The sequence below is a fragment of the Homo sapiens genome, chromosome 15, assembly GCF_000001405.40.
Source record: "Homo sapiens chromosome 15, GRCh38.p14 Primary Assembly".
Taxonomy (NCBI): Eukaryota; Metazoa; Chordata; class Mammalia; order Primates; family Hominidae; genus Homo; species Homo sapiens.
Window position 1 is genome coordinate 100,849,048 of NC_000015.10, and position 27,925 is coordinate 100,876,972.

The window sequence follows — 27,925 nt, forward strand, 5'->3', positions numbered from 1 at the left end:
AGCCCCTGAGTAAGGCCGCCGCTGCCACCCACTGCCCCTGAAAGGACATCTGAGCACAGTGATTCCGGTGGTGCCAGGACTCCAACCAGCAAGGAGCGTTTCGCACAGAGCTGCAGAGAGTCTGTGCCTTCCAACGAGAGCCGTGTCCCGAACGCCATCCACTTAGCTCTCACTCTCCTCCTTCCTCCTTTCCCTGCCGCTTTCTGTTTTTCATCAGGGCCTTGGAACTCGCTAGTACAGACCGACTTTCAAGTTAAGTCTTTCAAGGAAAATGACTCTTGGTTTCCAGCCTGGATGTGTCATTACACCCTCATGCGTCTCAGGGAAATTAGCAACCTGATTCTTGCCCTGACTGTCATTTAAAATAAAAAGCTTTCTTATTTGCCATCTAAGACAAACTCTAGTAAACCCACAGCGGACGGGTAGGAGGAATGAAACACAGTTACTCGTATTCAGCAAGTTCCTGGGGTCATATTTACCCGCATGTGTCTCCGGGTAACTGGGGGGTGGCGCGTGTTTGCCGTTGTGATGCGGGCGTGTGTGTGTGGAGTCTGTGTGCGCTGGAGAGAGCAGTGTGTCCCCCCGAGGACCTCGGGGTCCCAGAGCTGTGCACACGCTGCCCCCCTGGACGTACAGAACCAGCAGGTGGCATCGCTCCACACAGGCCACCGAACGGCCCTGCCCCGCCCCCTGCCACGCCCTGTGCGTGCATCCGGGTCCCCGCGCAGTGGCTGCACGCAGCCCACCTCTCCCGACGATCCGGGTCCTCCCGCCCTTCGCGGTGATTCTGTCGCGAACCCTCTCACGGCAGCTATGAGACTGCTGCGCTCCCCAGACGAGGAAACCTGGTCTCCCGGAGCCAGGTAACCCACCCGCAGCCTGCGGGAGAGCCGAGGTCTGCAGCCGGGCCGTCGGGCTGCCTCTTCCCGGGGACCCGGGAGCGGGGGGCGGGGGGCATGGTGGCCTCTCGGGCTGCTCCGAACGTCCCCTCCAAACAGCGAGGGGACGCACAGCCCCACTCAGGAGGGAGCCAATGACATTGAACCTGAACCCAAGCCAGCCTTAGACTGAACTTTCAAAGTACCATTAAGCAACGCCGTGAGGAAATGGAACATTCGACAAGGTATTATGTCGCATCTCTCTCTCTTTTTTTTTTTTTTTAGGTGGAGTCTCGCTCTGTCGCCCAGGCTGGAGTGCGGTGGCGCGATCTCGGCTCACTGCAAGCTCCGCCTCCCGGGTTCACGCCATTCTCCTGCCTCAGCCTCCCGAGTAGCTGGGACTACAGGTGCCCGCCACCGCGCCCGGCTAATTTTTTGTATTTTTAGTAGAGACGGGGTTTCACCAAGTTAGCCAGGATGGTGTCGATCTCCTGACCTCGTGATCCGCCCGCCTCGGCCTCCTACAGTGCTGGGATTACAAGCGTGAGCCACTGCGCCTGGTCGCACCTCTTTTCAAAAGCCAGTGTTATCTGGGAAAGTGCAAGGGGTGGGGAGTGGGAGGTGCTGTTTTCAATGAAAAGAAATGAAAGAGACATTGTGCGTCTTCTTAGGTGATATTACAGTACCACAGACACTACAGTTAGGTGACTGAGTCCAGTATTGTCTGTTTTCTCAGGTGTGATGACTGTGTCGTGTCATGCAGAAAAATGTCCTTATTTCTAGGAATCGCATGCTGAGATCTCGGGGAGTAAAGGGCCAGGATGTCTGGAACTTAATTTAAAATGATTTGACAAGGACAGGCATACACATAGGGACAAAGCAAATATGGTAGATGTTATCAATTGCTGAATCTATGTGCTGAGTACACACGTATTTGTTGTATTGTCTTTTCACCTTTCCTATATGTTTAAAATCTTTCATAATGTCATTCGGGGGGAAAAAAAGCTGATCTGGCTATACTTATTTGGGAATGTGCCGGCTAAAAGGGAACTAACAAATAAAAACTTAACTTAGAACATAAAATTTTAGAGACTGAAGGAACCGGAGACCTTCTAGAGCTCAACTCTCATTTTAAAGATGAGGAAAGTGGGCATATTGATTTTATCTTATTTTCTTTTTCTCTTTACTTTTTAAATGTTTTTGGTTTAACTTTAAGTTCAGCGGTCCATGTGCAGGTTTGTTACACAGGTAAACTTGTGTCATGGGAGTTTGTTATACACATTAGTTCGTCACCCAGATATTAAGCCTAGTACCCAATAGTTGTTTTTCCTGATCCTCTCCCTCATCCCACCTTCACCCTCCAATAGACCCCAGTGTGTATTGTTCCCTTTTGTGCCCGTAAGTTCTCATCGGTCAGCTCCCACTTATAAGTGAGAACATGTGGTATTTGGTTTTCTGTTCCTGTGTTAGTTTGCTGAGGACAATGGCCTCCAGCTCTATATTGAATAGTTAAAAACTATTTAGGCCGGGTGCAGTGGCTCACACCTGTAATCCCAGCACTTTGGAAGGCCGAGGCAGGTGGATCACTGAGGTCAGGAGTTTGAGACCAGCCTGGCCAACATGGCGAAACCCCATCTCTAATAAAAATACGAAACAATTAGCCGGGCATGGTGGCAGATACCTGTAATCCCAGCTACTCCGGAGGCTGAGGCAGGAGAATCACTTGAACCCGGAAGACGGAGGTTGCAGTGAGCTGAGATCACACCACTGCATTCCAGCCTGGTGACCGAGCGAGACTCCGTCGCAAAAAAACAAAACAAAACAAACAAAAAAAAAACTCTTTAAAATAAGTGTTATAAACTAACAGTTTATTTATCCCAGGCACAGAAAGACAAATACTGCATGATCTCACCCACAGGTGGAATCTTAAAACATTGAACTCACAGAAACAGAGTAGAATGGAGGTTACCAGGGGCTAGAGTGTGGGGGGTTGGGGTGATGTTGGTCAGAGGGTACAAAAGTTCAGTTAGACAGGAGAAAGTTTATCTTTTAGTGATTTTCATGATTTTGACAAAGTTGAAACAACTGAAACAAAGTATCTAAATATTTTAATACTTGTAATTATTTTTTAATTGTTGAGTGATTTTAATGAGTCAAAAATATAAAACAATCATGCATAATACATATAAATAATTTGAGTGTCCAACCCATATTACAGATGAAAGTAAAGAACAGGCAGATTCTGAGACTTGGGACAGGCAGCATTTGGCACCTGCGGAGGCCCGGTTCTACACGTCTGTAGTGGCAGAAAGGCAATATATATTAAAACCTAGGAAAACAGTCAGGGCACGGTGGCTCACACCTGTAATCCCAGCACTTTGGGAGGCCAAGGCGGGCAGATCACCAAAGGTCAGAAGTTCCAGACCAGCCTGGCCAACATGGCGAAACCCTGCCTCTACTAAAAGTACAAAAATTAGCCAGGTGTGGTGGCTGTAATCCCAGCTACTCGGTAGGCTAAGACAGGAGAATCGCTTGAACCCGGCAGGCAGAAGTTGCAGTGAGCCGAGATCACGCCATTGCACTTCAGCCTGGGTGACAGAGGGGGACTCCACCAAAAAAAAACCAAAAAACAAAAACAAACAAACCTTGGAAAATGGGTGAGAGAGGATGGTATGTGATGGTTTTATCAAGTACTTCTACTCTATTTATATCAACTACTCCAAGCTGTGGTAAACACCTCTGGGAAGCCAGGTCCAGTGCAAGTGGGCCAAAGCCCGTATTGACAGTTATAAACCAGGCATCTCCAGATGACAGCTTTATGACCCAAGCAGTGTGCTCCTCACTAGACTAGTGCAGTACGTATCAGAGTCCAGCAGGGAGTGTGCCCACCTGGAGGACCAGGGTAAAGGTGGGAGGCCAGGAGCAGGGATCTGGGAGCTAACAATAACTCAAAGTACCCACGTTCATGGTTTCCACCCTCCCCCTGAGCCCCCACGTATGCCATCCCCAACCCTCTCCCCCATCTTTCAAGTCCATGACTGCCAGTCACCAATTAGACCCATCACTCAACAGCCCTGGTTCCCCAACAGATGGACTCACAAGAACAAGAAACAATGACTCGGTCATTAGAACTCTTAGTTTCCCACAATTCCTGTCATTGGGATTAAAGTTCTCCGATGTTGTCCCCATCATGTGTCTGAGAAACTGGCCATGGGCACCTCCTGAAAGGGGAAGCAAGAGTGACTCTGGGGGCTTGTTGTGCTCCTCGGAAGAGGTTCTCACTCCTTTAGCATGTCGCTGCCTGGCCCTGGACAGCAAAAACCAACCCTTTGAGAGGACTTAAGTAAATACATCATCAGATCTGGGAGCTGATCAAAACCTTATTTCGTTGCACTCACATGTATGTGTTTCTTAATGTACTTGATCTTGGATAAAATATATCCTAGTGCATTAGATTTTAAGCCATGGATACACATCCTAAGTTGAATATCCAGTTATATTAATTTCATTCATGTTAATTGATATAAATATTAATTTATGGTGAATTATAGATTTATTTAACTGATGTAGTAGTGATATATACATAAGAATTCCTGGAAGGAGATGAATTCATATAAGCTGTGTAGAGAAACCTATATTCTTTCAAGTCATCACAGATACTTTATAAAAGTAGGTACTTCGGGTACCAAATACTGTAGTGTCCCCAGCAAATCTGCAGCAATTGGCTTTTGACACTGAAATGTTGGATTCCGCCCTGTTGGGTAGTGTTGCTTGTTCGGGCTTTAGAGTTAAGATTAAATCGGGTGGACTATGTGGATCCTGGAAACTGTGTGGGGTGTTAGACTTAGAGGAACGCACAGAGCTTCCATGGCTGACCTTGACCTCGGGAGGTGGCCAGGGACCTGGCAGTCTCTCATGCAAGGCTCTGCTCAGAGAGCTGAACACTGACCCCACTGAACGCTGTGTTAAGGAGCTAGGGTCCCCCCCTCCCTGCCCCCAGCTCCCTGCTATGAGCTTTCCCAGTTACTACATGAATCCAATTACAGGCACCCCTGTTGGGTTTCCTGTGAAATAACAGATCTTACTGTAACCAAATATTACCATCTCGGAAAAACCTTATGCAACTAGCGAGGACTCTTCATTCTCAGGCAGCAGAGAAAAGCCTCTTTGTTTTGGGGCTGAACACCTGGAACATGTTATCCGGGGCGGCCTCCCCGGGCCCACAGTGGAGAGGGGGCTTCTAGGACCCAATCACACCCCTGTCTGTGGAGGACTGGCTAGCCCAAAGCTGCCTCTCGCTGGCTCTGTTTAGCCTGGTTTCAGCAGACCCTGGCTCTTGCAGTCAGCCATAGGCAAATGGCAGAGGGCGCCCCGCATCGATACAGAAGGACTACATTGGCAAGGACCACAGAACTCCCAGGCAACCTTTGATAAGATGAGAAGAGGAAGGGCTAAGGATGCAGAGAGATGGGAGGCCTAAAATCTACCCTCCCTGCCCCCAGACACTGGTGCCCTCCTGAAGCCATCACAGATAAGAATGCTGGCTGTGTGTGCAGGAGAGCAGGTGTTGTGGCATGGGCTCAATCAGGGGACATGTCTGTGGATGACTGCCCTTGGAAACCAGTGAAACCCTGTGATCCCACCTTTCCTTCAGATCACTGACTTTCCAGAAGAAAACTTAATGCTGCTCTTTCATCCTTACGCCATGGCTAATACAGCAGTCACAGAAAGGGATGGCTGTAAGAACCCAACGCAGGCCAGGCTAGAGGCAGGAGTCAAGGCCGGCTGCCGTAGGGCTCAGGATGTCCATCCGACCGTGACCTCAGCACTCATTGATAAAAGGAGAGTAGGACCATTCCCAGGTGTGGAGAACCAGGGGGCATCTATGACAAATGCAGACCCAAACACCGGTGTAACTTTTTGAAGATAACTCCCATTTTTACTCACGTCTCTTAGTCTTAATGAAATACAAAGTCCTTGCTGGAAGGGAACAGCTGTCACTCATCTCTGGGCCCCTCGTTGTTCGACACCTGAATGTAATGTGTAGTCTTCAACCCTCCAACCCTCTCCACCAACACTCATGGGTGTGGCAGTGCCCTGGGGCCTAGGAGAGGCAGATTCTAAGCTGGGCATGAGGTAAGGTCAAAGATAGCACTTTCCCAGGAGCTCCAGGGAGATGCTAGGGCTGTAGCACCTAGGCTCAGTTGAAAAGGGGTGGTCCAATGACAGTTATTTGTCTACACAATAGGCAATTTCCAACATCCAATAAAATGCCTTTTTTTCTTCTTCTTCTTCTTTGAGACAGAGTCTTGCTCTGTCGCCCAGGCTGGAGTGCAGTGGCGCGATCTCGGCTCACTACAACCTCTGCCTCCCAGGTTCAAGTGATTCTCCTGCCTCAGCCTCCTGAGTAGCTGGGATTACAGGTATCTGCCACCACGCCCAGCTAATTGTTTCGTATTTTTAGTAGAGACAGGGTTTCACCATGTTGGCCAGGATGGTCTCCAACTCCTGACCTCAGGTGATCCACCCACCTCGGCCTCCCAAAGTGCTGAGATTACAGGCGTGACCCACCACGCCTGGCCAAAATGCCCTTGTTTGACTCTGGGTATCTAAGACAGTTATAAAAATATAGCTTCCCCCCAACCCACCAAATAACAACAAAATACAGTTGTGTCTGTGTGATAATTCTTGTATCATTCCTTCCACCCTTACCTGCGTGTGAATATTACCTGCAAGTCTCAGCAACTCATCAGCCATGTAGCTCGTGTAGCATCTTAGATGACTATTTGGAAAAATAAAGCCAAATACACACTTTTGACTCAAAGGAGGAAGCACATTCCTGTCGAGCTATTGTTATTTTAATAATTGGAAATAAATTTTAATAAAGCCAGTAACTTTTGCTAAATACACAGTTGTGCTTTGACAGTGACGGAAAACCATTTAAAGCCACGCTTGAGGCTCTGTCCTTGGCACAAACACGATTGAAAGTCTACATCTGATTGACCCTTTTAAAATGCCTTCCTTTACTTCTGAACTGTTGATAAAGAGCTCTATTTGTTTGTAGAATTTTTCCTTAAAAGTGGGGCAACAGAAATTATTTCCTGTCCAGCGTCCTATTTCAAGGAACCTGGTGCGTTTCTACTCATCGAAGCTGGTCTCTCTAGCAGGATGCAATCTGGCTGCTTCGTCCTGCTTTAAAGCAACTTTAATTTACTTGATTAAAAGTATGCCTATGCTCAGCACGTCTCACAAAGTCAGGGAGAGACATTCATGAAGAGTTTCCCTTTGAAATAAAATATTCAGATTTTGTTTCCCAGTGTTTCCACGTCTATCTTCTTTGCTTTCTTAGTTTTCATGTGGTATCCGATATCACAGAGGCTGGCAGCAGAACCGCATGGACACGCTTCTCATGGGGGCCCATTCTCTGGGCTTGGAGGTGTAACATATATTTTACAAGAACAATGGGAAATCATTTAGGGATCCACTTTTCACCATTCTCTTAGGAGAAATGCTCTCTGGGTTGGAAGAGGGGGTGGAGGGCAGATGACTGTTATATAAAGCGCTTGACAGGAAAAAAGGCACCCCCTATTTCTTGGGATTTTCTCCCACTACAGTCCCTTTGACAAAGTTCCTTTCCCTAGAATGTTCCCCCAAACCGTAAATATTAGTGAAGAAAAAGAACTTGTATTGACCAGAACTCATTACACAATCAGAAAGATTGAGCATTTTATATTTGTTTTTATATTTATATCTTTCGGGGGAAAATGCACTATGTATATTAATTTTACCACAATGTGCAGAAATTCCTTAGGCAAATATGTAATTAGGCATTTTAAAATATAAAATGTATTTATTTATAGCTTCCAACCACACATTTATTTTTATTTATCTGAAAGATTTAAACGACACTGTCTTGAATTCGTTCTTTCTTTAGTTTATTTGCAAAATATATAATTAGGCAAATAGCCCTGAGGAGACTGGGCAGTGATCTTTCTGCAGCTTTTAAAGTATTGGTAGGACGCTGTTCTCTTCTTTTCCCCAAGTTCAATAGCTTAGCTATTCGTTTCCTGTTTCTAATAGCCAAGGTAATTAGACCATAATGAGAACTCTTTGCTTGGAAGATGACATCTGAAAGTTGAAACTATTTGGCTGCTCAAACCTCAACAGGGAGGGGAGGGGGTAAGCATCGCCTCCTCGGTGGGAGGAAGTTCTACGACTAGAGTGTCACTTTCCCCTAAACTTATTTCTTCCTGGAAAGACTCCAAAGTCCAGAAGGCAAAGTGACATGTGCACTGGTTTTTTTTTTTTTTTTTTTTATGGAATGGCCAATTCTTCATTGTTAAGGAAGCATCGCTTAAAAACTCCAAAAAGCCCAGAACATATAGAAAACCTGTTTGCCCCTTCTTTTACCTTTCTTTTACTGTCTAAATATCACACACGTACATTAAAGTGCATACATCTGAAAGGCATATCTTGATGAATGTTTCACCTGTGTGTATATCTGTGTAACCACCACCAATATCAAGAAATAGAACATTTCTTGCCCCTGAAGGCTCTCAGACCCCTCCCTGTCAAGACCCCACCTGAGGGAGCCACCGTGCTAATTTCTATCCCCCAGAATGGTTTTGCCTGTCCTTGGATTTTCCATAACTGGAACTATGAATGTTACATACACTCTGGCTGGCAGGCGCTTTTTCTCAAGGGTGCATGCCTGAGGTCCATCTGTGTTGCTCTGTAGAGTTGTGCTCTTACATTTTCACTGCAGTTAGTGTTCCTGTGTGTGAATATTTATGTATCTGTTCTGCCTTTTACGGACATTGGGGTCTTTCCCAGTTATGGCTCTTAGGAATAAAGCTACCATGAACATTCTCATCTACATCTCTGGGTGAAAGCACTTTCTTCCTTGGTGAACCTAGGAGTGAACTTCCCGGGCCACAGAGGATGTGCAGCTTTGGTAGATTCTCCCAAACCATTTCCCATGAGTTGTACCAATCATCAGTCCCACCAGGAGTTCATTCACCACTTTTTGATGGGCAACCAGGGGTCAATCTCATCATTGAAAGCAAAGTCTCAACTGTTCGCAAAAGGGGGACACGAAGACTTAGTAGCAGGAGAGATAGAAAAAAAATAATTAAAAGGGAAAAAGCTACCCCCAAGAAAGGACCTGGCCCAGGCTGAACAAGCTCTGGCAGCCCTGGGGCATTGCTGTGGTAACCGTTTCCCACCCTTGCTGCCCAGGAGGAGGGGCAGTGGCTCTGGAGGGGAAGCTCAGTCCCTTGGGGCTTTCCACCTCATGCACATGGACAGACAAGGCTTTCCTGGGGTCAGGCCACCTCCAGCACCCTCCAGCCCAGTTCTCAGCCACATAGAGCATCACTTGTAGGACGAGACTACTGGCTCCAGTAAGTCCCCTGAACTTTTCTTTAGGCCAAATTCCATATGTTCTCTCTTTCCAATACTTTTTCCAATTATTGACCAAAAAGTAAATAGTAAGGCTATGTCAGGAAATCTGCTGCCTTGTGGCCAGCAACCCTCCCCAGCCCACAGTGGCCCCACTGCACTCTGTGTGCCTGTCCTCTGGGCCAGCACTGCCCCGGCCCTCCCCACTTACATGCAGCCCCCTGAGGGTCCCAGAAGGGAGCCTTCAGTCACTGAGCTCTCACTAGGCCAGAATTCCAGGAAAGGTGAGAACCCAAAACACCTCCCCTGTCTACCCCAGCTGTTCTAGAAATACAGGAGATGGAGGTTAATAGAAGACCACTGACCTTCCTGACAGCTTTTCTAAACAACCAGGGCAGGGTCATTTTCTACATGTGGTATTCTCACGGCTCCCTCTCCAAATTGAGGATGCCCCACTGACGTCTGTGTGGGCCATCAAAGGGTGTGTGTGAAAACTTTCCTGCCCATCGCAAGCTAGAGCCTCTGGGTCAAGCCCGTGGCCAGGCGAGCCTTGCCCATCTCCTGACTCCCTCACTCAATTTGCCGACTTCCTGTTGGGCTTTCTCTTAGGGCCTTTACTCTGTCCTCTCTGTCTCTGGCTCTGATCGTTTCAAATTGCTGCCGGGAGTCTCACATATACCAGGATGGATAGCAGAGCCTTAGTCCTGAAGTTTCACTCATAACTCAAAGGGATAGGTATATTTTGTTGTAGCGCAAAATCGATTCCCATCCCCTGGGAAGCTTGTGTGTTTAGTGTGTACTTAGGTAGTGAGGAGCCCACCTGCTCACTCACTTTCTGCACAAGGAGCATTTCTGTCTGCCCGGGCAGAGACCCCTGACTCCAACAGGCCACACCCACCAGTGGTGAAGTGTGCTCAGCCAGGGAGGAAGTTCTTATGGGTAGGAAGAGTTTCAAATCTTCCTTGACAGCCCACACAGCTGTCAGAGGGCATCCTCAGTTTGGAGAGGGGGCCACAGAATATTAAGGTTTAAAGACGCCAAAGGCTCATGTGCTTCCCTTCCTTCTCTCTCTTTGTCTCTGTTTACCATGAGACTGTTTTGAAAGGTGTGCACTCTCCTCCTCTTACCCTCCTGGGGCTTCTCCTCCTGTCTCAATTGGAGAGGGACAGGGACAGATGCAGAGGCCCCCGGATACAAATGAAGAGCCTGGGCTGAACCAGGGCCAGATGGGTCTGCAGCCCTGTGATGGTCACCTGGGGAACTATTGTAGGTGTGGTGGTTTTAAGATATGACCCCAGATTCTTTGACTCTCCTTTCTTCAAGAGGTGGAGCTTAATTTCCCTCTGCTTAAATGTAGGCTGGATTTAGTGCCTTGCTTCTCATGCATAAAATAAAGCAGAGGTCATGTGTGTGAGGTCCTAAACAGTACTGCAGTTTCCTGCTTGTTCTCCTTCTCTCTCTCTCATATCGTTAGCTCTGGGACAAACCAGCTTCTATGTCATGAGCACACTCAGGCAGCTCATTGGAGAGATCTGCATGGTAAAGCAATGAGGCCTCCTGCCAGCAGCCATGTGAGTGGCATCTTGGAGCCAGACCCTCCAGCCCCAGTCAAGCCTTCGGATGCCTGCAGCCCTGGCTGACATTTTAACCACAACTTCATGAGAGATTCTGAGCCAGAATCACCCAGCTAAGCTGCTCCCGGGTTGCCAGGTGAGAAAAATGAATGGTTATGATTTTAAACCGCTAGGTTTTGGAGTCATTTGTTACACAGCAACAGATAACTAAAACAGGAGGTTATTAGTACTACTCACCAAATATTTCTGGTTCTAGCTTCCAGAATCACGGTAGGATGACCTCTCTCCCCTGCTTGGAAGTTACGTATATCCACGCAACTTTGAAATTGAGTAAGACTGGGATGTGTCATCCCCAAGAGGGCACTTCAAGAGCCAGTGTGCCATCACAACCTCTTTCTCTCCCTCTATCAAACCAGTTGCCAGTGTTATAAATAATGAGACCATGCTCTATCAGCTTGGGGCCAGGGGTTGGGGTGATGTGGAGCAGAGCTGTTAGCTGACCCACCATGGATGTGTAGCAGCGGAAGAAGCAAGCCGTGTGCTGTTGAAGCACCCACATTTTTGGTGTTACTGCAGCACAACCTGAACTATACTGACTGATGCAGGTGAGGATACACAGGGATCCTCTGTCCCTCCACCCCCAGCTCTTCATGCTCTTTGGGCCCAGGAAAGCCAGTATCTCCATTGAGGTCAGCAGGATCATGCCCTTGATGTGGGTTCCCTGTCCCCTGCCCAGGGGACCTCCACCGTGTCCACACCTGGATAAAAAGTGAGGAGCTTGGTTCAGGAGTGGGCTGGGGGCCTGGCCTGGTCATCACGACCTCTCTGTTTAGAACCCTGTGGATGGGAAAGGCTTACATGGCAGTAAGAGGAGTTGAAGGTGTTAAGTAACGGCCCGTGTGATCCAGTTCTGAAAACCACAAAGTCAACAGTGATTGATCCTTTGCTTTCTTTTCCAGAACCATAGAGAATTTGGGGAAAATACTGTCTGGCCACCCAGAAAACAAAGACCAGTTAGGATTTGTTTTATTTTCTCTTCTTCCCAGATCAATCCACAGTTCTCCAGGGACCCATTGTGGTTTTGTGCTTCCTCTGTGCCTGTTCTGCTCCTCTCCATGCACCCCAGCCCCTCCCAGTCCCCTCAACGGTCCTTCTGGCCAGGCCCATAGCCCCCTCTCTGCCCCACAGTCCTCAGGCTCCAGCTTTCTCGTTAGGAAGTGTTAGAAAGTTGCTGGAGTGAGAAATGAGCCTGTGAAACTCGTTGTCCTAATTAAACTTCCACAAGGAGAGTGACAAGAGGCGACGGGGAGGAAACGGTGCCACCACCAAGGTCTCAGCCTGGGCCCAGGTCGAGGAAGGCCTTTGTCCTGCAGAACAAAAGCCACTGTTTGCACGTGTTAAACTTCATCAAACTTCAACAGACCCAGGTGCAAAACCCCACATCCCAAATGCCATCCGGGCTTATGCCACCTTCCCGAGCATGGACCGTCCCTAGCCGTCAACCCTAATCAGGGCCATGCCCTACATCAAAGCTGCACTCCCTCCACAGACAGCTTCTGCTCTGAGATGCATTGTTCCTATGACTTCCTACACTCCGCCCTTGTCTGACGAATTAGGGCACGGAGCCCCCCCATGGCACAGCTGGGCCCTGCTGGCATTGTTAATGAGGTAGGAAGGGCGCGTTTGTCTGAGCCTGGGACTAACATAATCACATAAAGTTGTTGCTTTGGAATAGATGGAGCTGCCCCAGAGTCGATTTTCTTGGAAGCAACGCAAAGCACAGCTTCCTGGGAGAAGACACAATGCCTCCTATTGTCTCTGCCACTTCCCCTCCAGCCTCCCAGCATTTCTGCGTCTCCTCGGGAGCCACTGCCCTGTGCAAGAGCTGTTTGCTGATGCCCAGCCGCGGCTTCCAAAACTCCCGCGAGAAGTCGTTTCTGTCCACAGTCATTGTTTCCAGACCAGCCGAGCCAACTGGGGAGGAGAGGCCAAGCCCAGGGAGAGCAGTAAGAGGCCCAGCTTGCAACACAGGCCCCCGGCGGCTGGAGTCGGCTCATGGGTTGCTGGGGGGCAGCTGGTGCCAGCCCTGCTAGACATGTCCAGGGTCGGGGCAGAGGCCAGGGTGGCTCTCATCCACAACGAGGCTCCAGGAAGAGGCTCCAGAGGGCCCAGGTCCCTGGAGGAAGACAGAGGGTGGATTATCCAGTGAGTCCTCAGATTGCTCCAGGGAGACTCTACCCCTAGGCCCTCATCCTACCTAGGACTGAGGCAGCCATCTGGGTCTCTGCTTCCCTAACCACTTCCTCCTCCACCCGACCATCACCTAGTCTCAAGGACTTGGGCAGCTTCTGGAAGTGGCTGAGACTGGAAGAATGTTGTCACACCTACCAGATATCCCTACGTGTATCTCTACCACCCCCACTACATATTCTGAAGAACCAAGGTGAGCTGGGGGAATCCCCAGGCCAGCAGGGCAAGGCCTGGGCAGGAATGGAGTGAGGAAGTGAGAAGTGGGGATCTTGGGGGTGGGCGGGCTGTGGGGCTGGGCTGTGCTGCACACTGGGCAGGAGGCAGGAGATGGCAATGGAAGCGACAGCTCCCCATCTTCCCCGGCTGCATACGTGAGGGATTCTGCTGCATTCACTGAGTCACCAAAGGACACTGGAAGGCCATCAGGATTTTTGGGTGACCAAGACATGGCTCCCCTCTTACTGCCTGTGGGGAGACAGGCATGTGAACACCCAAGTCTAACCCAAGCTGAGTTGACTGAGGGCCATTTAAAGATTCCACAGAGGCTGAGAGCAGTGGCTCATGCCTGTAATCCCAGCACTTTGGGAGGCCAAGGCAGGTGGATCACTTGAGGTCAGGAGCTCGAGACCAGCCTGGCCAACATGGTGAAACCCCGTCTCTACTAAAAATACAAAAATTAGCCAGGCATGGTGGTGCACACCAGTAGTCCCAGCTACTCAGGAGGCTGAGGCAGGAGAATCGCTGGAACCCAGGAGGCAAAGGTTGCAGTGAGCCACGATCACACCACAGTACTCCAGCCTAGGTGACAGAGCGAGACTCCGTCTCGAAAATAAACAAATAAAGAAAGGTTCCAAGGATGGTCTGGAGGACAAACAAAGGAGGAGATTTGGTGCAGGAGTTAGGACAAAGACTCCTGGGACAGCAGCCCTCACTTGGGGCCATAGTGAATGAATGGGGGCCTTTTGCAGAAGGGAAATGGAGGACATGTGTGGTGAAGGCTTTGCTGAAGCATCTCTTATAAAAGGGGCAAAAGCACTTGCTCTCCTCCCAGCTCTGGCTCAGCCTCTCTCTCTTCAAGTCCCTGGCATCCCTGGAAAACCATGATTTTTCCATTCTGCAGCCAGCCCAGGCACCTCCTCCCACCCCCGCACACTGCAGTCTGGTGTGTGTGGTGGGCACACATAGAACACTTGCTGGTCTTGAAAATGAAGCCATCTTTTGGGGCCCCTAGAAATCAAAGAGACCCACTTAGCCAAGATATCACTCTTGGACACCAGCAAGGGTGAGATCACTTGATAGGTATTTTGCCGTGTGTTTCTTTTTAACTATATAAAAAACAAAAGGGTGGATGTGCAAACCCAACCCAAGAATACCTTGGCTCAGGCTCAACTAGATGAAACTTTTAAAAATGATTTAATGTTATGTTAGACTGTTGCATATTAAAGCGATGTAATGCCTTCTAAGAAACGAGAGTCAGATCCTGAAAGCGATGACTTGGGTAAATGTAAGGAGTTATAACTCACTTTTCAAGAGAGCAACTATAAACATTTTGCCCAATATGTACAGACCTCTAATGACAGTGTGCAAAGACTCTTTCGTTCCCAGATTATGAGGCTGCCACTTTCTCCTCCCCTTCCTGAGCCGCACTTTTCTAAACAGCAACTGTCGGGGCAGGGGGATGGGAAGCTCATGAGAGAAGGAAATATTTGGGACCGTGTCGGCCAGTGGAATGGGGCTTGTGGTCACCGTGTTACAGAGTCAAATCACTTCCCAGTAAACACCAGTTTCCGATGGCTCTCTGGCCAGGGTTGGCCGGGGACAAGCAGGGAGTATATGTGTCGGGTACGTTGCGTCACAAGCTGTGCAGCTGTGTAGGCCTCTCTGTCCAGAGGCATTAATGGAAAATGATTGGGCACCCAGCCCACAGCAGATGCGCTGAGGAATCCAGCCAGGGGGAGCTGGGATGCAGTGGGAGAGGGGACACGCAGGGCCTGGCTGAGAAGCCTCGCGAGGTAACCACAGGCGGAAATCTGAAAAATGAAGACGTTCCCACCAGTTCCAGAAAACAGGGCTAACTTAAAATGCAGCCCCTTTCCTTGAAGTGGGCTTGGCAGGCCCCAGGTGTTGAAAGGCAAAAGAAAAAAAAGAAAGAAAGAAAAAGAAAAAGAAAACAGCATGTTTTACATTTATCTAGCCTGCATTTCTAATGGAGTTCCCTTCAGACCCCTCACGTGCTGAATTGATGTGTGAGATCAGAACAAAAGGAATTTCGAGGAATCATTGGTATAGGCCCCAGAGCTAAGGAGATTGCAATTTGAAAATACTGTTTCATGCACTTATTAGACTAAATCAGCAAACAGAGAGCAGCGTGCCAGGTCCTCCTGGAAGTTGCCAGAAGTCTCATGGCTGTAGCCTCCCTGGCTGCTGCTTCAGGGGGTCCCCTAGACCCCTCAACCCAGAAGAGGAAGGCAAGGATCCATCTCTCCTCGTTTTAAGAGTTCCTCTTTTCCCCGCTTTATGTCTCAGAGCCCTAGCTCCTCCGTGTCCCTCATCTGTCAAGTCTGCTCTCAGGGAAAAGCGGAAACTCACTCAGTCCCAAAGGTGAATGGTAACCTCAGCTTCTTCTCAGGGTGGGAGGGGAGGCCGGTGTTTTCCCAGATCCTAAGCTAAAGTAAGCTCCTGCTAAACAGATGAGGGAATTATGCTGAGGGGGAAGAGGTTCACCCTGGACTCCTGTGAATTCCTTGAAGGATTCATGAGATTTCTCACCTCTGGGTTTTCTGTGGGGGTTGAGTCTCTCCATCTGTAATGCTCTTTGTCTAATTGGCTCACACTTTCTTTCTGCTGAATAATGTCACTTCTGTGCTTGGGAGTGGTCCCTGGGGTAGAGGATGCCAGTTGCCAAGCAAAACCTATCCCCCTTTCTTCTTGACTGACAGACACTTATATTATTGGGGCAGCTAAAGCACTACATTTCCCAAGTTTACAGACATCTGTGGCCAAGCGGGTGTAAGCAGAAGACTTTAGGGGTAGAGGATGCCTCAGAGAAAGTTATTCAAAAGGGGGATAATTAAAACAGGAGGTGAACTTTCTTCTTTGCCCTTCCCCCATGGAATGTGGCCATGATGGTTGGAGCTCCAGCAGCCATCTTGGGACCAATGTGAGGATGGACATTACAAGCTAAGAGGGCTGAGCAGAAAGAAAGAAGACATCAGACTCTGATGAGTGACTGTGGAGCTGCCTTGCCAGTCCTAGACTGCCCAAGGCCGTATTTCTCTCAGGTGAAAATAAACCTGTATCCTCTTTAACTGATGTTGTTTCTAGTCTTCATCACTTGCAGCTGAACTAAACCAAAGTAAGCCCTCCCCTTTCTGCACTTCTCCATACAACTACTCACACTTGCAGCCTCTCATTCCATGTCTGTCTTCTCCCCGCCATGTACCAGCTATGAGATCAGTGGTTTGTCTGCAGTGCCGTCTGCAGGAGCCTCAGTGCCTGGTGTGGCATCTGGCACATAAGAACAGGCCTGTAAATGTTTGCTGAACGAGATGCCCCTGCAACATGGCTCTGCCAATGGGCTGGCACACCTGAACCCTCCTTCCATGGCGTTAAACAAGATTTAAGGATATCGGGGGCTGGGTGCAGTAGCTCATGCCTATAATCCCAGCCCTTTGGGAGGCCAAGGCGGGCAGATCACTTGAGGTCAGGAGTTCAAGACCATCCTGGTCAACATGGTGAAACTCCGTCTTTACAAAAATTAGCTAGGCATGGTGGCGTGTGCCTGTAATCCCAGCTACTCAGGAGGCTGAGGCAGGAGAATCTCTTGAGCTCAGGAGGTGGAGGTTGCAGTGAGCCAAGATTGGGCCACTGCACTCCAGCCTGGGCAACAGAGTTAGACTCCATCTCAAAAAAAAAAAAAAAAAAAAAAAGATTTAAGGATATCAGGAGCCAGGGCCCATGAGAGGTCAGTGTTTAGACTAATTAGGGCACAGGAGAGGGAAAACCACCTATTTGCATTTATTTATAAGAAAACCGGCTATTTTTGAGCATGTGCCAGGAGCTGCATTGAGACTTAACAGAAAATCTTTCCGATCCTCACCGTGGGGGTGATGCAGGCAGCTGGCATTCCTGACTTTAGGGTATACCCATGTCGTGTGATCTGTCCCTGCATAGCAAACTGCCCCTGAGCTCAGAGCTTAAAACAACAGGCATTTTTTGAATTTCTCATGATTCTAAGGGTTCACTGGGGCTCAACTAGAGGGTCCCTCTGCTGGTCTTGTTTGGGGTCTCATCCAGCTGCAGTCAGGTGGCGGCAGTGGCTGGACCTCCAAGGTGACTGCATTCACCTCCCTGGAGCTTTGGCAGGAGTGCCTGGGAGGCTGGGCTCAGCTAGGACATTGGGACACCTGGGCCTGTCTGTCTCTCCTTGGGGTGCTAGGGCCTCTCCCTCTGCACATGGATTTTCCATGTCGTCTCTCGTGAAGGCTACCTGGACTTCCTACATGGATGCTCAGGCCCCCAAAAGTACAGAGGCAGAAGTTGCCCAGTTTCCCAAGGATCAGGCCTGGAACTGGCCTGCCATGACTCAGCACTCTGTAGTTGACGCAGTGGCAGGACCAATCCAGAGTTAGCATAGCCAGGGACCGTACAGAGACATGAACACCAGGAGGCTCCATTCGTGGAGCCCATCGCCAGGGACTAGCTGCTGCCCCATGAGTAGGTGTGACTGAATTTTATAGGTGAGGAGGCTGAGAGAGAGGCAAAAGAGCTTGAAGGTCCCACACCACTGAGGGGGAGAATGGAACCCAGAGCGACCCACCTCCCTTGCCTGCCTTGTCTCCTCCTCCATACTCAGCCTCTTGAGCAAAGGAATGCTCCTGAAGGTGCATTTGAGGCCAGAACTCTGCCCCAAGAGCACACTGTCAAGGGCTGCCTGCATGGGGTTGAGGATGGTCTCTAATTCATGTGTTTCATGAGTCATTTATAGCAGGAGAGAGCCCTGGGAAAATGTCACGAAGATGAAAGCTGACTTAACAGATGGGCTGACACACGGAGGCTCAGGGACATCCACACTCCGTGCCCACAACGGTGGGCTTCTCTCTGTTCACTCCATCTCATTCTTTGAGAGTCTGCCTTATTATCTCAGATTAAAGCAAACTCACACCTGCACCTTCTCCAACCAGAGATTTCTCACTTGAATCTCTGCAGGTGCAACAGGAACCTGGAGCCTCAAGAGCCGAGGTGCTCAGGAGGGGCAGCATGACTCCAGGGCTCGGAAGGAGCCCCTCAGGTAAGGTCCCCTCAAAGCCTGAGAGTTCCCTTTGTCCACAACTCATCTATTTTGCCCAGATATGTTTTTGGACACGGCAGTTCCCAGATAAGAGCAGGCTCGGCCCCCTGGCCTCAGAGCTCAGCCTTCAGGGTAGGGCAGGAGAAAGAATGTAATCAGAGTTATGGCTTAATGAAGTGAACCGTAATAACCATAAACAGACAGTCTGGGATTTGGTTTGTTATTTTGTACAAGGCAGTACCTTTCAATAGCAACTGGTGTTAGGGCCAAGCTTAAACATTTTCATCTCACCAACAAAAAAACAGTGATCCCATTGTTACACTACACTCTCCCACCTTAAAATGGGATTGGTTTTGTGGATTGGGAAAGTTACCAAAAATAAGTTTCTTCAATCACAAAGGTTAGCAGAAAGGAAGTTGCTGGATTGTTGCTAGATTGCTAGGAAGTTGCTAGATGAGAGGGGCCTATAGGTAAGCAGTATCTGTTATAGACAATGTGTGCCAGGCCATCTACCTCAAACTTTTTTCCTATTTAATCCATGTAATAGGTACCAAATCCTACACAACTTAAGGCTAAAAAATAAGTTTGCTTATGAGTCCCTATATACAAGGTAAAATAGAGATTGTTCTATGGACTAGCTTATGGCTGCAAACTACATTTTAAGAAAAGCATAACCAGGCCGGGCGCAGTGGTTCATGCCTGTAATCCCAGCACTTTGGGAGGCCAAGGCAGGCGGATCACCTGGGGTCAGGAGTTTGAGACCAGTCTGACCAACATGGAGAAACCCTGTCTCTACTAAAAATACAAAAATTAGCCGGGTGTGGTGGCACTTGCTGGTAGTCCCAGCTACCCGGGAGGCTGAGACAGGAGAATCACTTGAATCCAGGAGGCAGAGGTTGCAGCAAGCCAAGATTGTGTCACTGCACTCCAGCCTGGGCAACAGAGCAAGACTCTGCCTCAAAAAAAAAAAAAAAAGAAAGAAAGAAAGAAAAAAGAAAAGCATAACCAAGAGTGTTTTCCTTCTTGAGACCAACACCCCAAATACAACATGCCCAGGTGGTTGTGCCACACAGCCTGACAGTGCAGCTTCCTGAGCACCAGTGTAAGATGGAGGGAGACAGGTGGGGGTGTGAATGCTCTCCAACCCACCTCGGGAGGAATTCTACTACCTCTAAAAGATTGGTGGCCTTTATTTTGTGTCCCAACATAGAGGCAGGATACTACCTAGCCACAGCAAAGTCAAGCCTACTTTCAGCATTTTCAGAGTTTGAAGCCATTTGGTGACTCTCTGAGGAGTTGTCCGTCTTTAAAGCACACTCTAAAAATACCTTCTGCCAGAGATGCTAGGACTGGGCAGAAACGGCAGGCCAGCAGGATGACGGGCCACCAAGCTCCCAGCCCCAGGGCCCCAGCACAGTTGGCATATTCTCGCCCAGATGCAAAGCTGGAACTCCCTGGAGCTTTCAATATGGCTACAACAATGCTGCCGGCTTTTATTTTGCCAAAATAGAGTGACAACACAGAGGCCCAACCACACAATCTTAGACATTTCCCTCTTTTTAAAAACCTTCCCTATACCCAAGAGGACCATCCCTTACCTCTACTCTTTCCTCTCCAGGATGTCATTAGCATCTTGAATTCATCACTCATTATTCTACCAGACATAGTTATTCTCTCCATTACATTACAGACTCTTTGAGGGATGTCTTATTTTTCTGCAGTTATGGTGCCTAGCTCCTAAAATGCTTTGTAACTGAGCAAAAAACCCTTTGGCTTACCAGAAGTCCACTCTGTTCAGGATTAACCATTCTACCTCTTACAAAATACAAACCAAGAGGGTGCTTTGGCACAGGCCTGGGGTCATGGGTTTCCACATGGCATGGAAGAAGGCATCCCAGGCTGGGAGTCAGGTGGCCTGGGCTCCTCCACCCTCGCTAACAGCTAACTCCATGGCCATGGACACACGCTTGTGCCACAGGTGCAGACTTTCTAAAGACTTAGGTTTTGGAGATCTCTCTGGTCTCCGCCAGGGATACGACACTATGCTAAGCACTGACAGGGTTACTTCATCTATAAACGTCCCAGGCACGAGTGGGAAAACAAGCAGAACTTGTTTTTTATGACACCAACCTAAGGCCTCATTTTAATTTGTTCTGGAAAGACTATTAGTCCTGATGCATTGACTGCAAATCTGCTAATAAACTATCCAACTCCTAGTTGGTGAAGGTGCCAATTTTGAGTATTTGGGGACCCCTTGCAATAGTAGGTACCAAGCTGTCCTGGGTTAATGACGCCACCTGGTGGCTGGTGTCGGGGTGGGCGAGTCCCCTGCATTTTTGCGCTTCAGTTCTAGAATCAGGAGTCCGTCAGCAAACAAAGAGGAAATGTATAATCAGGGCCATAAAGATGACAGAAAGGGATGTGGGAGGGAAGGGTGAGGTCGTGGGGTTTCAGACAGACTGGTCAGGGGAGGCCTCTCTGAGGGGGCGGCATTTAAGCTGAGACTTTCCTGAGGAGAGATCAGTCATGCAAAGATCTGAGGAAAAGAGCACTCCAGGCAGGAGCAGTGGTGATCGCAAAGGCCATGAGTTGAAGTGAGTGATTCTGTTTTAGCAACAGAGGGCACCCTGGCCAGCCAGCACCGAGGCAGTGTAGAGGGAGATCGTGGGAGTCCTTGCTGGGCGGGGGGCAGCTGATTCTGAGTGGAAAGGGATTGGGAATTGGGCAGGAGAGTAGTGTAGCACTAGGCTTTATTCCTTCATTCTCCGGGTCATTCCTCATGCTTTAGTTAGTTCCACTTCAGAAGGCCTTTGTTCGGGTATCACAGAAAAATTTCTCTTCCCTCAGTCAATTTTCCATTCCATTCCATTGGGACCAATCACAAGGCTAACCTTGGCCAATAAATGCGCCGTAGCCTTGGAGACCCCTCCTTGAGCAGCTGAAGGGTGACCACACACCCAGCCAGCACCAGCACCAGCACCCCCACCTGGAGAGGTCCATTTCCTTAACATCCCAGCACAGGGACACCATGCTGTCCCCATAGCTGTGCACTACCAAGCCACCCACTTTTGCAGAGAAGGAAGCTGAGGGTTAGAGACCTCCACCAGGTACCCCAGGGGTTAGAGATGCAAGTGCCGGAGCCGGGGAGCCTGGAACTAGCTACTGAATCTCTCTCAGTTCATACCATAAATGGGAGCTCTGTCTAGTAAAGAAGACCGATGGCAAAGAAGAACTACATAAATAAATACATCATTATAATTCTGTGTCTACAAAATCATATGTATATAATAATGTGGCCACCTCCTGAGTTGGAATATGCACAACTCCTAAAGTCAATGCTCTCACGGAGGAGCCTGGGCCACTACCGGACGGGGCTGAGTGCCTGAGACAGCCTGCCTGTAGCCTTCATCTCAAGCCACTCAGCCTGAGTCAGGGCGGCTGCTCTGAGCCCACGTGGACGGCCCCACTCTGTCCTTGCCTCACCTCTGCAACCTGAGGCTTGGGGCCGTCTCTCAGTTCTGCCTTCCCATTGCCTGCTTCAACTGTCCACTGTCCACACTTGTCCCTTTGATGTCCCCCTTCAGCCATTCTGGGGAAACACTTTGTCGTGCCCTGTTGCCCCTGGGGCCTCACATCCCAAAGTGGGGCTCTTAGCCTGGTAAGATTCATTGCAGCCTCTCCGATGGGCACAGGGCCTAACTTCCACTGTACACAGAGGGTCCCTCCTTCTTCCCCAGAGTATACATCCCTTCTCAGTAAGCCTGCCTTCCTCAAGCCCCAGAATTCAAGAGCAGTATAAAGAGCAATTTGCATGCAATATAATGAAGATAGAACCTCTTGTTAATAGTCTTGCCCTGGTACTTCTAGGCTCTCATCTTATAAAAGTGTGTTGATTAAAATCCTTCAAAAACACTCCCTTGGGTATAGCTGTAAGGAGCCTCTAAACAGTGGGGGCAGTTGGGATCTTGACTGGGACCAGTATTGGGCTATCCTTGGTCTCACAGTAGAAGGTGATGTCATCTCCACCCTGAAAATAAACAGAGAACAAGAAAAAGAGGAGCTCGTTTCAGCCATTCTGACAAGGTGGGCTCTTGGTGGGGCAGGGATTGCTTTTCCTAAGAGGCCAGGTATTAGCCAGACCAGAGCCTGGTGGCCCTTCTCATACCATGATGTGTATTTGAAGCTCCTGGGTGGGGCTTTTGTCAACCTGCAGATTCCGGCTCAATAAGTCTAGGGCAGGGCCTGGGAGTCTGCATTTCTATCAAGCTCCCAGTAAATGCTCATGCTGCCAGTCTAGGGAGGATACTTGCTGGTAGCTTGTTGTTAGATACTTGTTAGTAGCTTGTTAGATACTTGTTAATAGCTTGTTAGAAGGGCAGAACCCTGAGCCCCACATCAGACCTATGAATGCAACCTGCCTGTCAACAAGATCCCTGGTGACCCCTGTGCATGTCACCACGTTAGAAGGCCAGTTTCTAGGGCTTGCCTGCATCCTGTGCCCACGAAAGACATCACTAATCAATCAGGACATTCTGATGAGAGTCAAGATCCTTGTCTACACAGTGCTGCCAGTGCCCCACCAATGCCTGAGAGGCAGCATGGGGAAGAAACTAAAAAGACTGAGAAGAATCAGCCCTGATACATGGCTAATGAAACAGGAGAGAGAGAAGCGAGTCGGGGCAGAGTTGGGTGTTCAGAAACCCAAAGCCAGATAGATTCCTAGAAGAAGCCCCAAAAGTGTCTGCTGTGTTGCAGTGAAGCATAAATACAAGTGAAGGGATGGGTGTTGGGGGAATGGAGCCTGGCATGAGCCAGAGAAGAGTCTGGAGCTGCTGAAAGCCGCCTGTAGCACAGATCAGAGAGAAGACCGGGAAGAAAGTTCTAGAAGGGTTGAGAAGCTGCCCGCCCAGCTGGAGGCTTCTTGGCCAGGGCTGAAGGAAGAGACTGAAGTCCATCTCCCTAGCAAGAAAGTCTCTCAAGTGACATAAACCGAGCATCCACCATACGCCAGGCAGGGGCTGGCCCTGTCACATCAGCGATCTCAGTTGCATTTCTCATCCCATGAAGGAGGAACCATCATCTTCTACAGACGAGGAATCTGTGACCAAGGGAGATGAAACAATGAGGCTGGCAAATGCCCCGTGGGAATCCTTCCCAGTCTACCCGCCTGCAAGGCTAAACTCCTAGGCTCATACACACTTATCCTTTGCCATTATTTATCCTTTTGCAATTCCTTTGCAAATTTCTATTGGGGGGTCTGGGTTGTCTTGTCTGTGAGAGGGACAGGTAGGGATGGGGATGAGGTGGGCACCCAGGGCCCAACAGAGCAGCCAGCTCAGGGGTGATGCCTCACAGCCAGTAGGACAAGGTTCTGGGTGGTGCTTTCTGTGAGCTTCATCAAGGGTCAGGCAGCAGTGACGTCTTGTCTATCTTCTTGCAAATGTACTTGTCGCACCTCCACCTCACCTACCCCCATGACTCCCTTGCTGAGCAGGAATTACTACTCCCATCTTCAGAAAAGGAAACAGTGGTTGAAAAAGATTAGGCCCAATTTCTCCCTGAGCTGAGAACAGCACCCACATCTGTTTGATCTCAAAGCTAGGAACCCATTTTAGGCTTATGGAGAAGCGAGTAGGCTTTTGTGGGCTAGCCTGGGCACTAATCACCAGTTCTAGCATCATGTCTGTGGTGCAACTGAAGTTTTGGGCACTGTACTGTGAACAAGCTCTTGCAATGCCATTTATTGCTAAGTTGGGAAATACCTGCTTCTCTCATAGAAGGAACTTCAGTGGCAACTTCCTACTCAACTTGGTCCTGTGACATCTAGTGGCCAACAGGAGAAGTGCAGTGAAATCTCTGGACATTGTAAGCAGGTGGAAAAGCTTAGGACTTCCTGGGATTAAAAAAAAAATGCGCTGAAATTCATGATAGCTGAAGTATCCATGGAATATAGAAGATGCACATTGACATGCACCTTATAAAGTCTATAATCCCATGTTTTGTTCCTAATATTCATGTTTATTTACTCTCACTGGTGGAAAATACACCATATCCAATTCATTGTCTCTTAATTGATGAACTATCTTTGCAAATAATATAATATATAATACAATGTAATGTATAATAGAGTGTAATGTGATGCAAACTCAGTGCTTGCAGATATGCTCAATAATAAAGGACATTATAGGTATGAAAATACTATAGGTCACTAATTAATCTATTCCCCTGGGGGTGGAGTGTTTTAGAATCACCATAATGCCATATGAAACTAGATGAAAATATACATAAATAGGTTTCCTCTCTGCTACATACATAACAGGCTTCCTGTCTGCCTAAACATGTTATAAGACATGATGTGCTTTATAGACGCTTTCTGATTACAGGGGAACCTCAAGAGTGCTGCCTGAGTAACTCTCATTACACAAAGACACAACTGCAAGAGGATCCCCAGGCATTCCCATGAGAACACAGATTCTGACAACCCCTCCATCCCCCACCTTGGTCTCCACCCCAGGACTCACAGCATGGCAAAAATCCAAGGGAAGATTCTTGGGTAACTAATGCTCCTTTACAGGGGGTCCCGGATGAAGGGCAGGGGGAAAGTCTTGTCACTGTGGGGCTAGGATAGATGAACCCAAGAGTGATTTGCCAAACGTGCACATACTCAAATCATTTTTCAAACATTTTGGGTTTGGCAAAATGCATGTTGCTAAGCCCCCTTTCCCGACAGTGGTATACCCATGTGAATTTCAAGGGAAATTCAATGTGTGTGTTTCTGATTCTCTTAGGCTTATCTCAGGACAATTATTTAGCAAGAACCACTTTGTGTCCAAGAATCTTCCTGAACCCTTTCTTTTGTAAGACCCCTTAAACAATTTTCCTTTTAACCAGGAAGTATGTTTTGTCTGGAGTAAATTGAACTGAAACCCCAAGAAGTGTGGTTCAAAATTCAGAATTCTTGAATTTTGAAGGAGATTGGAAAGTCTGCAAACAACTTCTCACATCACTGAGACTTGCCGGTGGTGGTATTGAGGGGTGTGAAGTATTATGAGCAAAATTCACTGATTATATGGAGTGACATTTTGTTTACTTTAAAACAAAGTCTGACTTCTTGCTGCCTGATTTGAGTGCTGGCCTGACCAAGTATCTTCCAGGTCTGGGTGACCCAGGGACTTTTTCAGTCACTCAATCTTTCTGAGTGTTGGTGCCTTCCTCAGTAGATGTGAGGACACAACTAACACCTATGAGCACCAGAGGATGGCAGCTCCACGGGGCTTTTGTACCAAAGAGATTCTCTTCCCTAGTAGGACCTCATCATCCAATGAATCAGTGAGCTTACTCCATTTATTCCATCCCAGAGCTAGTTTTTGTCTTTGTTTTTTAACATACTATAAACCTGAGCACAGCGCATCAAGGTTATTTGATTAAGGTCAAAATAACAGAGATGGTGATAAGAGTTTTATGTCTGTGCTGCTCCGTTTATACAAAAATGAGATCATTATTCCACTTGAGTTAAAATTTTGCTCTTCTTGTCATAGCGATGGCCAACAGCCAGCTATGCTGCTTAGGATTAAGTTGGCCACATATAACAGAAAACCCAAATGGTGGGCTTTAATAATATAGGGATTTTCCTTTTTCTCACATGAAAAAAAAATCCAAGAAAAAATATCCAGGGATGAAGGGCTGGTTCCAGGGCCATCAGGGACCCACGTTCTTCCTAAGTGTCTCTTCCAACTTCCTTACCATGGAACTTGCATTTCAGAATTGCATTATGGTTACATGATGGCTGCTGGAGACCCAGCTCTCATGTCTGTGTTCCAGGCAGCAGAAAGGAAGAAGAGCCTTTCAGCTGACTCAGTCCCATGTAAAGAGTTTCTTTGGTCCTGAACTCCTGGCCTCAAGTGATCCTCCCACTTCGACCTCCCAAAGTGCTGGGATTACAGGCATAAGCCACCATGCCTAAGAGCTTCTTTGGAAGCCCAAACCAAAAACTTCAGCTTATACTTCTGCAAGAGAGGCTGGGAAATATGTTTATCAAAGCCCACTACCACCCTCGATAACATGGGATTCCACTGGCAAGAAAGGAGAGAACTATTGGGTACTCAACCAACTCTCTCGACCTTACCCTCCATGTTCTCTCCTGGCTGGGCCACAACTCTCATCCACTGGAAGACAGACCAAGGGGAAATCTCTGGCAGCTGTGAACTGGCAGGCTGTGTGTGTGTGCATGTGTGTGTGTGCATGTGTGCATGCATGTGTATGTGTGTATGTGTGTGTGCATGTGTGTGTGGCTTCACTGGGGCCTGACCCACAAATACCATGATGTCTCTTTGCTTTTATGTAATGAGTTCTCCGTTGGCTTCTGCCTGGTCCAAGACTGATTTGCCTCAGCCTAACATTGTGTAGTGAAGGCCTTTCCCAGGGCCAGAAAGGACTGGCAGGGCTGGAGAGAAAGCAGCTGGTGGAGCTGTGTGGTGGGCTGGCAGCTCCTTTCTCTTCACCTTGTTTGGGTGTTATCAGCTCCTCTTTCTCCAACCTGGGGTGCTCCTGCCTCGATATCATCAATCACTGATGGAAACTCGCAGGGAAAAGATTTGTTTGTGTGTTCCTTGAGGACAGAACAATGTTGTAGTATTTGATGGGTCTTAATATACGGTGAGCTTCAAAGGTAAGTAGTTGCCTATTCTAGTCAGGTTGAGGCGATACCGAATGACTCACATGAAACATGGAATTGACTTCATTGATACCAGCAAGGAGGTGCTCACAGTGAAGTCAGCCCTCCCTCACCACAGGGGCACATGCCACCCCCATTTTGTAGCCAAAAAACCTGAAGTTAGGTCGCCTCCCTGAGTCACCCAAGCACTGGCCTGAGTGCTGCACAGTGGGGTGACCGGGCTTCCCTACATCAAAGAACTACCCTCAGCCCAGGGGCCTGGCTGTCTAGGAAGGGTTCAGAAGGCACACCCAAGACTCAGGCCCCTGCCTCAACTCCACAACACTGAGGGAGGTGAGTAGACTGGGTGGGAGGGGCAGCTCTGCAGCTGGCCAGAGGCTGCGGGGACACAAGGGGTACTCAGCAGACCTGGGCGTCTCTCCACAAGGCTCAGGTACCAGATCTGAAATAACATGAAACACAGTAGGGGGTTCATCAACGTCATCATCATTATTCACTACGTTTGCTTCAGACCTCAACATCACCCACAGATGATTATGGGTTTAGAAATGGAATGAGGTTGAACTTAGGGGGTGACCACCTGACTTCTGTTTTATCTTTGTCTTTTATTCATGCTTCTTTTTACTGAGTGGTCATCCGCAAACAAGCCTGCAACATGACATGTCTTGGACTCAGCTCATTTGATGCACCAACAAGACAAACAGCAGACAACGGCAGCACCACAGAGCTGGAAACAAAATGAATAAATACTTTTTCACAATGAAATGAGCAGAGGGACTGTTGACTTGGGGGGCTCCCGCAAGCCAGAGACAAGTGGGGGGAACTTGCTGACTTCCAAGAAGAAAAGCCAGCAAAGAGG

The 27,925-nt window shown here is 48.5% G+C and overlaps 1 long non-coding RNA gene across 8 annotated transcripts, besides 1 other annotated feature; it reads left to right on the top strand.

Annotated features, from left to right (window-relative positions):
- Positions 537 to 831: an enhancer, noted in NCBI's record as "tiled region #9420; HepG2 Activating non-DNase unmatched - State 10:DNaseD, and K562 Activating non-DNase unmatched - State 4:PromP". NCBI's record gives its function as "activates a minimal TATA promoter and a strong SV40 promoter by Sharpr-MPRA in HepG2 and K562 cells {active_cell/tissue: HepG2 | K562}" and the evidence as "EXISTENCE:reporter gene assay evidence [ECO:0000049][PMID:27701403]".
- GCAWKR (gastric cancer associated WDR5 and KAT2A binding lncRNA) lies at positions 705 to 27,831 on the top strand. 8 transcript variants are annotated; one of them, NR_160704.1, is made up of 9 exons: positions 705 to 1,123; positions 6,184 to 6,301; positions 10,753 to 10,988; positions 11,109 to 12,279; positions 12,402 to 12,520; positions 12,689 to 12,858; positions 13,180 to 13,295; positions 15,629 to 15,703; positions 16,182 to 16,410. It is a non-coding gene; the product is annotated as a gastric cancer associated WDR5 and KAT2A binding lncRNA (long non-coding RNA). The 8 variants fall into 8 exon arrangements; NR_160703.1 differs by lacking the exons at positions 6,184 to 6,301; positions 11,109 to 12,279; positions 12,402 to 12,520; ... (2 more) ...; positions 15,629 to 15,703; positions 16,182 to 16,410 and adding exons at positions 18,311 to 18,392; positions 24,776 to 27,831 and having other exon boundaries at positions 705 to 863; NR_160709.1 differs by lacking the exons at positions 705 to 1,123; positions 6,184 to 6,301; positions 10,753 to 10,988; ... (2 more) ...; positions 15,629 to 15,703; positions 16,182 to 16,410 and adding exons at positions 18,311 to 18,392; positions 24,776 to 24,945; positions 26,155 to 27,831 and having other exon boundaries at positions 12,796 to 13,295.